Source organism: Homo sapiens, chromosome 6 (genome assembly GCF_000001405.40).
Source record: "Homo sapiens chromosome 6, GRCh38.p14 Primary Assembly".
Taxonomy (NCBI): domain Eukaryota; kingdom Metazoa; phylum Chordata; class Mammalia; order Primates; family Hominidae; genus Homo; species Homo sapiens.
Genome location: NC_000006.12, coordinates 151,933,050 through 151,947,461, shown reverse-complemented (window position 1 = coordinate 151,947,461; position 14,412 = coordinate 151,933,050). Strand labels below are relative to the sequence as shown.

At 37.5% G+C, this 14,412-nt stretch overlaps 1 protein-coding gene across 33 annotated transcripts in view; it reads right to left on the bottom strand.

Annotated features, from left to right (window-relative positions):
- ESR1 (estrogen receptor 1) overlaps positions 1 to 14,412 on the bottom strand; it is a 472,948-nt gene that overhangs the window by 182,158 nt on the left and 276,378 nt on the right. For 31 of the 33 annotated variants that reach the window (XM_047418290.1, XM_017010377.2, NM_001385568.1 and 28 more), the window contains one exon: positions 2,954 to 3,289. In XM_047418290.1, coding sequence (XP_047274246.1) covers positions 2,954 to 3,289 — 336 coding nt within the window. Of the gene's footprint in view, positions 1 to 2,953; positions 3,290 to 6,608; positions 11,221 to 11,244; positions 13,791 to 14,412 lie in introns of those variants that run through there. The other 2 variants (XM_011535549.3, XM_017010383.2) reach the window with 2 other exon arrangements.

Here is a 14,412-nt window from a genome sequence, read left to right as displayed (position 1 = left end):
ATATTGATAGGTATTCTGAGGATTATCCAAATGTTTCATGAGGGTTTTTGTATCATATAGCTAATTCTGGGTATTTCTAGAACTGAAATTTTGCTATTCTTCTTACTAATGACATTTACTATTTCCTTCTTTATTTATTTATTTAGAGACAGAGTCTCATTGTTGCCCAGGCCGGAGTGCAGTTGTGGGGTCTCGGCTCACTGCAGTCTCTGCCTCCCAGGTTCAAGCAATTCTCCCACCTCAACATCCCAAGTACCTGGGACTATGGATGTGTGCCACCAAGCCTGGCTAATTTTTGTACTGTTTTGTAGAGACAGGGTTTTGTCATGTTGGCCAGGCTGGTCTTGAACTCCTGACCTCAGGTGATCCACCCGCCTCGGCCTCCCAAAGTGCTGGGATTACAGGCATGAGCCACTGTGCCCGGCTTATTTCCTCTTTTAAAACTTACTATTATTATTGTCATTCTCAAACTATTATCTCATAAACGTTATATTGTCTATATCAGATATTCAGTGTGGGCTATGTTTTTTAAATAACAGATGGTATTTGAATATATAAAAGATATAAATCCTTTTCAAAATGTTGCTTTGTCTATTTTTCTGAAAAGTTTGACAACCATCTGTAGAGCTTTTGCAGAAGACTTTTTTCTTCCCTCACTTTTAGTCTCTTTAAAATCAATGACTATTTTTATTCTGCTTGGTCAGGCAAGTAGGCCTTTGATTTACAACAGCTGTATTCCCATGGAACACACACAAACACACATACATATAATTTCATTTTTGCCTTTATAATTCTTTTTTTTAATTATCAAGTAAGAAGACATAGTTTATTGGTCTAAGGATTTTGGAATCATTCAGGTCTTTTAAACGAACATGATGAAGTTACAGAGTGGTTTTGTTACACATCTCATTGCCATAATTTTGTCTAGCTCTGGCTTTAATAATTGTATTTTAACTATTGCTAGCCTGTGTATAATATTTTCCTTTCCTTGACTTCTCCATTTTATTCCTAAATTCAGAAGATTATTGATGTGAATTCTTCAACCACTGGTAATGTATTTGAGCTTAATTCCAGTTGTTTAAAATGCTCTTCAACATTATTATAAAAATGTCATGATGGGAATCTACTGATACACATGAAAATGTCTGTACTTGAGTTCAGCAGTGCTCCAGAGCTAATATTCCCAAGATTTCATAAGGGAAAATATATGTTTACAGGAAAATAAAACTGAACAGCAACCAAGAGTTGGCTCTCAAATATATGACCATTAGTTTCTTTGCTTGTTTGTTTGTTTCTCTTTCCCTATAATATAAGAACAAGGCAATAACAAATATAAAGAAAAAACTTACAGCCATATTACAATTAGATTCCAACAATTAACTTATAATGTATCTGCTTCATATGAAAATGCTAAAATATGTAGGTACTCAAGAAAACTTTTCATTCTGAAGATGACCAGAAATTTTTGTTTGCCAGTTCGACTGACACTGAAAACCTACATTTGCCTATTATTCTCCATGCTTCCATGTAAACTAATAACCACTCAACCACCAAAATGGTGGCCTCTAACAAGGCTGGGTTCTGGTACTGCTGGCTCCTTATTCTACGGCCCACATGTTTATATACTGATAGATGCAAATACATGTAAGATTCTCTAAGGCCAGACATAAGTTCACTTGGCCTATAACAGAGCAGTGACCCTTGAAATGCAAGTACAAACTCCACATTTTTTTAGTTTCATATAAAACATTTCATGCTTCATAGGAAACAATTAATTTCATCTATTAAAAGAAACCAAATGAGAAAACCTCCAACTAAATCTATCACTCATTTAACCTATAAGCCCAGAAAAAAAATTTAGCTTCTTCTTGCCTCGGTTTATCTACATTAGCTCCTGAACGAATACACTGGGGCAGGGAGAAAGTCATTTTCTAGTCTTGTTGCCATACAAACTTGAGTTCTTCTCCCTGAATAACAGGAGTAACAGTCCAATTTTACCAGAACACCAGTTCTGAGAGAATCAACTGAAGGAACAAGGTATCACTTCAGCCACTGTGTCTTTCTAAAAGTTTCTTTCAGGGATGATACCTTAATTTATTTTTCCATTGCCTTTCTCTTTCTCCTAAAACACTAAGCATACACCAGGTTGGATAAATAATTGGCATTCAGTAAATACACTTATTATTATCTTTTTAATCCATAAAGATCTTTCTCTTTTTTTGTGTGGTTTATTTTTTATGACACGGTCTTGCTCTGTCACCTGGGCTGGAGTGCAGTGGCACTCCACACAAACATGGTTCACTGTAGCTTTGACCTCCTGGACTCAAGCCATCCTCTCACCTCGGCCTCCCCCATAACTGGGACCACAGGTGTGTGCCACTGCATCCAGCTAATTTTTAAAAATTTGTTGTAGAGACAGGGTTTCGCCACGTTGCCCCGGATGGCCTCAAGCTCCTGGGCTCAAGCAATCCTCCCACCTCAGCCCCAAAAAGTGCTAGGATTACAGGCACGAGCCACCACACCGAATCTTAAAAATCTTTTTAAGATAAAATCGTTTGATTAATAATTGAGATGTTTTCAACAAAGGTCATTAATATTACAAACTTTTGTAGTTCATTTAGTGTTAAAAGTTTCTGCTACTGTGAACATACACTATTAAATAGTTTTACCATGTAGTGTCCACCCTAAATCTTTTTGGTAAATGAGATGGGTTAAAAATAAATTATGTCAATTTAAGAATTTCAGTCTTCTAGATTCTGATTTAAAAATATTATTTCCTAATCTCCTGGAAAATTACAGTGTATTGATACTGAAAATGAACACATCTCCTGTAACCTTGAAACCAATTACATAACATGTTATTGCTTCTTTTTCCCCCACTATTTCTCCCATGACATCACAACAAGTTCTTGAAAAGCTATTGACTCTTAAAAGCTGCGCTTCGCATTCTTACCTGGCACCCTCTTCGCCCAGTTGATCATGTGAACCAGCTCCCTGTCTGCCAGGTTGGTCAGTAAGCCCATCATCGAAGCTTCACTGAAGGGTCTGGTAGGATCATACTCGGAATAGAGTATCGGGGGCTCAGCATCCAACAAGGCACTGACCATCTGGTCGGCCGTCAGGGACAAGGCCAGGCTGTTCTTCTTAGAGCGTTTGATCATGAGCGGGCTTGGCCAAAGGTTGGCAGCTCTCATGTCTCCAGCAGACCCCACTTCACCCCTGCCCTCCCCATCATCTCTCTGGCGCTTGTGTTTCAACATTCTCCCTCCTCTTCGGTCTTTTCGTATCCCTGAAAACACAGGTGGAAAAAAAAATTAGTTTATTTTTTTCCCGTGTAAACTTTTATACAAAAAATTTTCAAAGCTAACCAGCTTTCATTTTATTTGAAGAAATACTTTCAAGCACAGGTGAGCTGGTAAGTGTTCAACAAGTGGCTCTCCAAGAGAAGAAGAAAAAGATTTCTATTTGTAGCAGTTTTCATGGTGTAAATACTACCACCATAACATGCCAATTTTCATGGTGTAAATACCACCACCATAACAAACTTCAGGCCACTTGTCTGACATCAAATGGCTTACAAAACTCCTGAAAATTGAACAGTAGGCTTTGGTGAGCCCATACAAACTGATTCCGACACACTAGGTAGGGGTGTGTGTGTAACAGGTGTTATAAAAAGAACAGAATTCTAATTTTAGTTATTCTTAAAATAGAATTTAGCATCCAAGACTACTTCTGCTAGGAATATTCTTTTAATAGTAAATTAAAAGGGCATTTTTAAAAGCATTTAGTCCAAGTAGACTTCTTAATGGGCAAGACTAAATAAGAATGACTTGCTCATAAGGTATATTACAGCCTCTGGCCCCCTGGGGTGCTAAGTCCTTCACTGTTACTAACCTGCTCCTCATCACCCTAGGATTGCCCCAAGTCCCTCAAGTCATTTACTGGATTTTAAGCTTTTCACAAATGTATTTGTTTTTTCCTAACATAAAAGTTGTAAAATTCTAAAAAGAGTTTGTTTTATTTGATAATTTCCCCCCAAAGGTGGTTTTTTTTTTGTTTTTGTTTTTTTTTGTTTTTTTTTTAAGATGGAGTCTCGCTGTGTCACCCAGGCTGGAGTGCAGTGGCGGGATCTCGGCCCACTGCAAGCCCCGCCTCCCAGGTTCACGCCATTCTCCTGCCTCAGCCTCCTGAGTAGCTGGGACTACAGGCACCTGCCACCATGCCCGGCTAATTTTTTGTATTTTTAGTAGAGACGGGGTTTCGCCGTGTTAGCCAGGATGGTCTCGATTTCCTGACCTTGTGATCTGCCTGCCTCGGCCTCCCAAAGTGCTGGGATTATAGGCATGAGCCACAGTGCCCGGCCCCCCACAAAGGTTTAGCCAGTTGTGGTTCTCACTAACTAAATTACGAAATGGGGTGAAGAGGGGGGATCCAATCTTTTTGCAGTGATTCTTTGAGGTTTGGGCTCAGCACCTTAACCTGAAAAAGGCCATACTGTACTGCTGAAATGTATTAACATCTGCAAAAAAACAACTATTTTAAAAAGACAAAAAGCTTCTATATTTTCAAAGAAGTTAATCTCTCCAATATTTATCAGACAGCATAATTCTTAGATTTATATGAAGGAAGCAATCGTTTTGATAAAAAGTTAATACAACTATTTTTAATATCAAAGACATGAGAAATAAATGCTCTTTATAACATATCACTTGTTCTATTACTTTATAACAAATAACTAGCGTGAGAATTTTGTCTTATTTTGTTTTAATTTGTCAAGGTATTTGGACAAATGTGTGACTGAAATATATATATGTTTTATATATATAATATATTAAATGACACTTCAAAAACATAGAGAAGCCATGAACTCTTCCTATTTGCTCAGTATTAAAATAAGTACTTCTCATGAAATAGTAAAAATTATAATAAAGATTATTATTATTTCTAATATGCATTCAGCACTTACTATATATTTTAAGCATTTACATACACTTTACATGGAAGCACTTTAGAACTAATTTAGTTCTCACAATAATCTTGTAAGTTTGAGAAACCGTTACTTAAAGAGATGAAGCAACTTGTACAATATCATTCTCTGTTACGTATGATTCCAGATTCTGGCTCTGAAAAGAAGTTTGCTTTTGTTTTCAGTTAAACAGAGATTTTGAATTTAATCCATTATGTAGGTACAAACTTAACAAGTTTCAGGACATTACGTAGGTACTAACTTAACAAATTGAGGGACACCTAAAAGTAAAAGATGAGAACAATGGCACCTGACCAGCCATTGTCCTGGATCAGGCATTTCAACTTTTATTGCCAGATTTGCCAATTAGATCACAATATCTGAATTAAGGGAGATGCTATGTCCACTCTACTCTCAACTCATCAGAGCATACCTGATGTATCACACTTATTGCTGGATCCTGAAACTAGCCTACTCAAGTTAGAGTAACAAGAAGGGTAAGGAGACATGAAATCAGGTTATATAGTGAGTAAGTGAGGAACAACGAAGGGTTAGCCTAGAGAAAGGAAAACATGGAGGAAACCTGAGCATCTCCCGTAGATGGGTTGTTCTGCATAAGACGGGTTCAACTTGTTCTTTATGAGCCCAAAGGCTAAAATAGAAGCAGGGTGTGGAAACTTTTTAGTTAGTTACAGCTCAATGTAAGGAAGCAGTTTGTAATAGTCAGAGCTGACGACAAAGATAGAAGCTGCCATCATAGGAGACGATGAGGGGTATCACTGAGGGTTTCCAAGAAGAGGCTAGATGAAGACTTTCAAGGGGGTATTCCCAAAGGATTCCATTATTCAGAAAGCATTTGCACTAGTTGACCTCCAGTAGCCCCTCCGATGCTGAGCTTGTACTATATGACTCTACCATCTTCTATTTGAAACATTAGAAAAAAAAAAAAAATGTAAGAGCAAGAGCCTTGCGGTGGACACCAGAGAAAAAATGTCAAAAGCAAAGAATCTTTTTAGGTTCAGATTTCTCAGGAAATTCTGAGGTCAGAGTTTTGAGAAGATAAGTTCTGACTTGTATTTCCCTACTTCGTGTGAGGACTGGGGTAAGAAAATGCCTGGTTCTTCAGTATTAGTCAGTGTATTACCCAAATACGATTTATACACCTACTCTACAAGTTTAGAAAGAAATTAACAATGCGATCAAGCCTTACAGGAAAGATGCAGCAGTGATTACAGTCTTTAATAGCGGATCTACAGAGAGAAATAGAAGCAAGAGATTTGACTAAAAAAGAAATGGTTAGAAGGTGATATTGTTTTTCCTAAGGTGAAATCAAGAGTAACCAAATTATAACTACACAAGCATTTTACCTTTCCAAAATAAAGTACTTTAAAAATAATATGCTTCTTTCATGAATGTAATTTATCTTACTTTAAAAAGATTCCAAAGAACAGCACTTAGGTTAATGAAACAAAACGAAACGTAGTATTACCACCCACTTTAAAAGGCTTCAGCAGTCATACTAACGCTAATCTACTTTCCAGCAGAAGAATTTTAGAATCAATTCAGAAACTGATATTGGCAGTAATCAAAAATATTTTATCAAAGTATTTGTTCATTTAGTAAAAATCCGTTCAATACTTACAATGTATATTCACGGAAGATGCAGTGGTAAACAAAGACAGATCATGTTACCCTCCATCAAGTTTTCAGCTTGGAGGGAGGAAGACATTGATCAAAAGTTATTCAATATTCGTTGAATGAATTAATGAACGAATGAACTGCCGAAAGCACAGTGGATGGGAGGAAGTGACTGGGGAAGAAGGAGACAAAGAAAACTTCTCTAAGAAAGGATGTCACATTTAAATCAAATCATGATATTTCCCTTCTTGGAGGAATTTAGGAGCAGACTACTTAGATGGCTTAGTTGTAGTACTATGTAAAGAAGTAAGTGGAACCACCACACCCATTTACGTCTCACAACTGTATGATTCAGGTTGTTGAATACAAGACACACAGGTTTTGGCTTTGGAACAACAAAATACGACTGGAAAGATGAGGAAAGAGATGACTATTTATAAAATCATCAAATAATCAAGTAGGTGAAAGTAGATTCACTTAGCGCTAACAAATATTTTCTTTAATGTACTGATATGGTTTGGCTGTGTCCCCATCCAAATCTCATCTTGAATTGTAGTTCCCATAATCCCCACATGTGGGAGGGACTCAGTGGGAGGTAACTGAATCATGGGGGCAGGTTTTTCCTGTGCTGTTCTCATGATAGTAAATAAGTCTCATGAGATCTGATGGTTTCATACAGGGCAGTTCCCTTGCATATACTCTCTTGCCTGCTGCCATATAAGACATGCCTTTGCTTCCCCTTCACCTTCTGCCATGACTGTGAGGCCTCCCCAGCCATGTGGAACTGTGAGTTCATTAAGCCTATTTTTCTTTATAAATTACCCAGTCTCAAGTATTTCTTTATAGCAGTATGAAAATGGACTAATATATATACCCTAAATGAACGATATTTTCCAAATTCCAAAGTCCCTATGAAGTATACAAACAAAACAAAAATATTATTGTTTTTTGTTTTGTACAAACAAAAAACAGAGATTTTGTTTTTTTGCTTCAGTTAAACAGATTTTGTTTCAGTTAAACAGAGATTTTGAATTTAATCCATTATGTAGGTACAAACTTAACAAACAAAACAAAAAAACAATAATATAAAATATTATATGGCCAACTGCATGTGATAGGATCCCAAGGGTATGGTTCAATGAAGAATGGATCCTCTTCTACATGGGAGTAGTAATTTTGCACATTATTGGTGATAATATTGCATAGACATTTTATAGAAGTTCAAAAATATCTAACTAGAATTGAGTGGAAGAAGGTAAAAAAAAAAGGATGCGACTTCTATTTCAATTTTACCCTAGGTTAAGTGAAAACTGCAAATCAGAAATAACAGCCTGTGTCACTATGGAACATACAGCTTATTCTTAATTATATAGAATGGTGGACCACAGGAGTGGCATGGATAATTGAAATTCAAAGAGAAAATTTAAAACTCATTCCTTGCTTTCTACCAAGACATTTTCTTGAATTGTTAGTAGAGCAGCAACATAGAGTGATATGGATTTTACTTAAGTTCACCCCCCAACTGTCTAACTTTTGTTAACTCTCAGGGGAAAAGCCAAAAGGTCAAACTACCAGCTCATAAAGCAGAGGAAAAAAACAAAGGAAACAATTAGTTTAGATCATGCAAATATTAAACAGGCAGCCTCTTGACAGTCAAGAAGTTTACTTGCAGGGACCAACATGTTGGCTTGGAATGCCATACACACAAGATACATTGTCATTCATACATGAACATGCCATTTTCCAGAATGGTTGAGCAGTATATTCAACAGCACAATAGAGATGTCGTGCCCTGGATAGCTAGTGTACACTGTCATTATAGCTCAAGTTATGTAACTGACTAGACAATATTTGCATCAAAGCAAATTTCTTTGAACCACTTTTCAAAATTTTAACCTTAACAATTATTGAAGAATTTTTCTAACAAGACCCACCTGTTTTGTATAAGGGATCGAGATACCAAGCTCTCTTTCATCCTGCAAGCCCACTGTAAGTGTGCAATGCCACCAGTTTGAATTTCATCTCCTTGGGTTAAAGCAACTATAATATCCTCGTCACGTTGTTGTAAGGATTTAGAAAGGCTCAGTATAAAATTTCTACTTAGTAACAATCAATGTGGATTTGAATGATTCTAATCCACCCTAGGAGGTGTTAACTTATGGGAATTTATTAAAACAATAAACTCAGGCAATAGGAATGAGGAGGAAAGGGAGAGAGATGGTACAGAGGGCACTCTCCAGGGGAGGTGAGCCCTAAGGAATCTCTTCAAAGTCGGCCTGGACTTGGAAGCTAGGTGGAAAGGCAGTACAGGCGACAACTTGTGGCAAGGTGAAAGGAGCTAAAGACACATCAACTGCTTAAATAATTATGTCCTGGCCCTAAAATAAAAGGATCTGTCCTAATGAGTCAAATGCCTAATGAGGCATTTTCAAAGACTACCTCTAATTACTTCACAGTTTGTTTAATCATCTGTTTTTTTCATTCTTTAAATTCTTTGGCTTGGCTATTGTATCTCAGAAAAAGTTAACATACTGCCTGAGTATTCATTAGGAATAGAATTCATTGGATTATGCTTCTAATGCACTCTAATTTTTAAATTTTCTTTCATTGAAATGAGTTTTCTTAATATGCTATGCTTCCAGAAAAAAAACTAGTATAATATCAGTAAAGTTATTTCTCCAGTTTCCCATGACTACGTTCATGTATTATTAGATATTTCAAACATTTGCATAATCACTTTCTTTTGTTTCTCAATAATTCATGGGGTATTAAAAGGCAAGACAAAGAAATACACTAAGAGGTTTTAAATTCAACATGTTAAAGAAAACGGGAGTGCTAATTCATTAAGAATGAAATAAAGACAATAACTAATACAACTTTCTGTGGAGAGACTCCCCAGTATCAATTCTAACACTCTCCCTTCAAGTACTATAAGGTTAAGTACTGTCATTGTCCCCAATTTAACAGAAAAGAAAGAAGTTCAGATTAACTACCATGCTCAAGGTCATACCACGGGCAGCACAGAGGTTACAATCGAGGTCTATCTGCCTCCAAAGTCTCTGTACCACAATGTCATTGACTGTAAAGCATTGGTAAGATGATTATATCATGATATATCATTACACTACGTAATTTATGTAATTATAGATTATTATTATTAGTGTTATCACAGCCTCTAAATGTTTCAGGTCAAGGAGCTATAAATTATCTGGTTCACTTAATGCTACTTAATGTTCTTTCCTTCTCTCCTTTCATACCTACAAACTCACCTTAACTACTAAGCATTTCCTCACATGTCCCTGCCTATAGTTCCCTCCTTGCTGTCTTTAAGCCTCCCTCCTAGTTCATAGGTTCCTTCTTGCCTAGATCATTGCAACAGTTCCTAATTTGTCACCTTGCCTATCTTCAGTCTTCCCTCCAACCCAATTAACTGATCTTGTCTATCTTCCGTCTTCTTTCCAATCACTCAATGACTGCCTTAGCCGTCAGCAGGAATTAACTATACTCTGAAAACTCTTGGCAGTTCTATGGGGCTACCAGAGGTAGTGCTGTTGAGGTTTCTGGTCATCTCATACCCGCCATTTTGTCTAGAGCAGCTACGCTTTTATATGTATTTTTTATATTGGGATTAGGGGAAGAATTTATTTTAGATAGAGTTTACTGGTTTTATTTTACATTTTAAAAGCTACTGATCTCCTGAATAAAATCAAACTCTAAGATTCATGAATTTCCACACATAGTCTCAAACTACTTTTCAAACTTATCTCTACAAATCCCTTCCAAAAACCTTTGTTTTTTATAAAACAAGGATAAGCCTGTGCCCCTTTTTATACTACTTCCCAACACCACCTTGTTCTTTTTCTATGCCTCCTCTTGTATTGGCCTTGAAAACCAAATTAACACCCCATTTTATCCATAGTGAATCTTGGACCCCACTCTAGTTTTGTGGCCCTACCTCCTCTGTTCTTGTAGTTTTTCTTTCCTGTGCCATTCATTTGGCCACTATGATGTGCTACCTTATACATATACTTACACCTAGGTTCCTCCCCACTTGCTGTGGCCTGAAACTTCTCTCCAGTCTGGAAACAATCAGAAGGCTCACCCCAATTTTTTTCCCTTTCTTACAAAATAACATCCTGCACTGATTGATGTCCAAGGTTTAAAGACAACAGTGTCATGTCCAGTGTTTTGTCCAGTTTTTGTTTGTTATTATATTTTCTGGTGGGAAGGTAAATGTAGCCCTTATTATTCCACCTTGGCCAGAAGCAGAAGTTTCCAATAATTATTTTGGTCATCTGTTTAACAAAATCCTTTAACCTTGTCTTTTCTCATTAACAAACTGTCAATTTGAAATTCTTAGTTTCTTCTTCTAGAGTTTTGCTGGCATGGACCTTATTAGGATTTCCCTTTCTTTTCCCATAAAGTGTAACAAGCAAAAACAATTTCAAGCCCAACTGAGAAAAATTAGAGGGTGGGGAAGTAAAGATTACGTTTAGTAGATAAAGGGTGCCCAATTTACCACCCCCCAACTTCTCCTACATGGCAAGTTTAGGGGCCTCATTTCCTCAAAGTTGCTCTCCCCAAGCCTTAGAATGAACTATGGTTCATTGCTTCCAATCAGCAAGTCTTGCCTTCCCCACCTGCTGACCGTGAGAACATTTCCATCTTCATTCATCTAATGATGCTCTCTGATACAGATTACAATGACTGGGAGACAAGGTTGTTGTCTATCCCTTTACAGTGGAGCTTGGGAGGACAGCACAGTCCCGATGACCTCAGATGAAGGGTCACAATGCAAATATTACTCTTTCTTTATTAAATGTGATAATATACCCTGTTGTAGGAGCAGGTTCCCAAGGCAAGTTGGAAAGGTCCTCCTGTTTCATGTTACATAATGAAAAAGGGCACAGATTGATGTGACTGATCTCTAGGATTTGAATACATCCCAAAGTAAGACTGTTCTGTTTCAGAATCTTCTAGAAGTTCAGAATCACTAAGAAATTCAGAATCACCTAAAGTTACAGAAATTTAGAAAAGCTGATGACCAAGGAGAGATTTCATCATTTGTTGGAGTATATTAAAGTGAGCTGTTCTTTGTAGGATGTTTTTTGGAAAATATTGAAATCTGTAATGAATTAACTAATTGGTGTAATACTCATTTGTTAATTCTTGGTTTCCCAGCATCTTAGCTGCCGTCCTACATTTGGTGAATTCCCTAGTATGTGAGTTGGTGGGTGTCAGGACTTGCTTTCCATCACAAAAGCTACAAGGACAATTACTGTTTTCTGTGGCTCCAGACTCTAGGGTGAAGGTAGGTGACCTGGGCCCCACCTGCATGCAGCCTGCTCCCTGTGACTGTGAAGTCTGGACATAGGACAATTCAGTCTGCTGTCCTGTGGTAGATCTGCAGTCCAGGAGTGAAGGCAGTGGCTCCTGCCAGGCTGCCCCCAAGGCACCACACTGGTGAAGTGCTGGCTGCTATGCCATGCTGACTGCCTCTTGGTTTCCACCTGTTTTCCAAGTCTGGTTATTCATCCTTCACGTTAAATCTGTGATCTAACCAAAATTACTTCAGTAATTTCTTTTTCTGCTGAAGTGAGAACCAGTTTGTCTTGCTTGCAATCAGTAATAATAATAATGATGATGATGATGGTAAACTAACATTTATTGAGCACTCGCCATATCCCAAGTGCTCATCTAAGCTCTTGACAAAGTTACATCATGTAATTTTCAAAGCCACAAGGCAGGTGCTATTAGTATTCCTTATTACAGCCAAGGAAGCTGACACATGAAGCTGGGGTTTGAACCCAGGCAGGCTGATTTCAGAGCCCATAATTTTAATTACCATGGCATAACTGCCTTAGAAAACACTGACTGGCACAATCTGTAGAAACCTACATGCACTGTCAATCAATATAAATGTGTTCTGTGTTTACATATGGGGCTCTAGAATCCTGAGAGGGCAAGCTATTATATAAGCCAGAGCCTCTACTGATCCATTATGGATATGATCATGATTCTGTAATTGCTGGAATTATCAGCTATAACGTTTCTTATTAGAGATTACAAATTGCACACATCCTGGTCTAGAAATTCTTTTTTAAAAATAATTTCCCTGTTTTCCCACTGATGCTTTTATTTTTGGAAATTATTTACCTATTGATAGATTCTAGTGCTTGAATATCAGATGTAATAAAATAGGCTATTATTCTGCACATGGAGCGGACAGGCTAAAACTGCTGTCTCCTACCAAAATTAGCTCTCAAAATCATCTTCATCATGATTTTTTAAAGGTACTACAACTGGTTGAGAATGGTTAAAAGAGCCCCCAAGGAATGGAAGAATGTCATGTATCACTTATGTAAAATGTACACATGCTCATACACTTTGAATCAATTTTAATTTTATTTTATTCATTCACTTAATACAACAAAGTTATTGAGAGTCAGGCACTGCTCTGGGGCAAAAAGCCAAATCCCTATCCTCACAACGTCATATTTTTGTGAGGAAGTTAGACAATAAACAAATAAATATATGATATCTGATAATGGTAAGTGCTAGGGGAAAAAACAAAGTGGAAAGCAGGTGGAGAGGGTGTTTAGATCAGGGACTACTACTTCTCTGTGCTGTAGAAACCAGAATGAAGTGAGAAGGGTGAACGAACAACACACAAATACTGACACTGGGAAGGAAACGGGTTCAAAGGTTTCTAGTAAGAGCCAAAGACCAGAGAGGTCACAGCAGCCTGAACAAGGAAAAAGTAAGACAAGGGAGGCCAATCCCACAGGGCCATGCCAGCTAAGGTGAGAGCTTTGCATTATACTCTGAAAGAGATGAGAAGCCACTGCTTTCCATAGAGCAGAGGAGTGCCAATGATAGGGTTTATAGCTTTGGAAGAACTCTTGGCTCTTGGAAGAACTCAAAGATCAAAAGTTACAAAATAAGTTAGGAAGCCATTGCAGTTGATGAGGTAGCAGGGGGTTTGTATTAGGGTGATTTTAAAAATGCTGAGAAGTGGCTGAGTTTAATTTATTTTGAAAGTAAAGCCAATAAGACATGCTGATGGATTGGATGTGGAATGTCAGGAAAGAGATAAACAATTGTGATTAGGAATTTGAGGGCTCTACAAAGACAAAAACCACATGATTATCTCAATAGATGCAGAAAAAGCCTTTGACAAAATTCAACAACTCTTCATGCTAAAAACTCCCAATAAATTAGGTATTGATGGGACGTATGTCAAAATAATAAGAGCTATCTATGACAAACCCACAGCCAATATCATACTGAATGGGCAAAAACTGGAAGCATTCCCTTTGAAAACTGGCACAAGACAGGGATGCCCTCTCTCACCGCTCCTATTCAACATAGTGTTGGAAGTTCTGGCCAGGGCAATTAGGCAGGAGAAGGAAATAAAGGGTATTCAATTAGGAAAAGAGGAAGTCAAATTGTCCCTGTTTGCAGACGACATGATTGTATATCTAGAAAACCCCATTGTCTCAGCCCAAAATCTCCTTCAGCTGATAAGCAACTTCAGCAAAGTCTCAGGATACAAAATCAATGTACAAAAATCACAAGCATTCTTATACACCAACAACAGACAAACAGAGAGCCAAATCATGAGTGAACTCCCATTCACAATTGCTTCAAAGAGAATAAAATACCTAGGAATACAACTTACAAGGGATGTGAAGGACCTCTTCAAGGAGAACTACAAACCACTGCTCAATGAAATAAAAGAGGATACAAACAAACGGAAGAACATTCCATGCTCATGGGTAGGAAGAATCAATATCGTGAAAATGGCC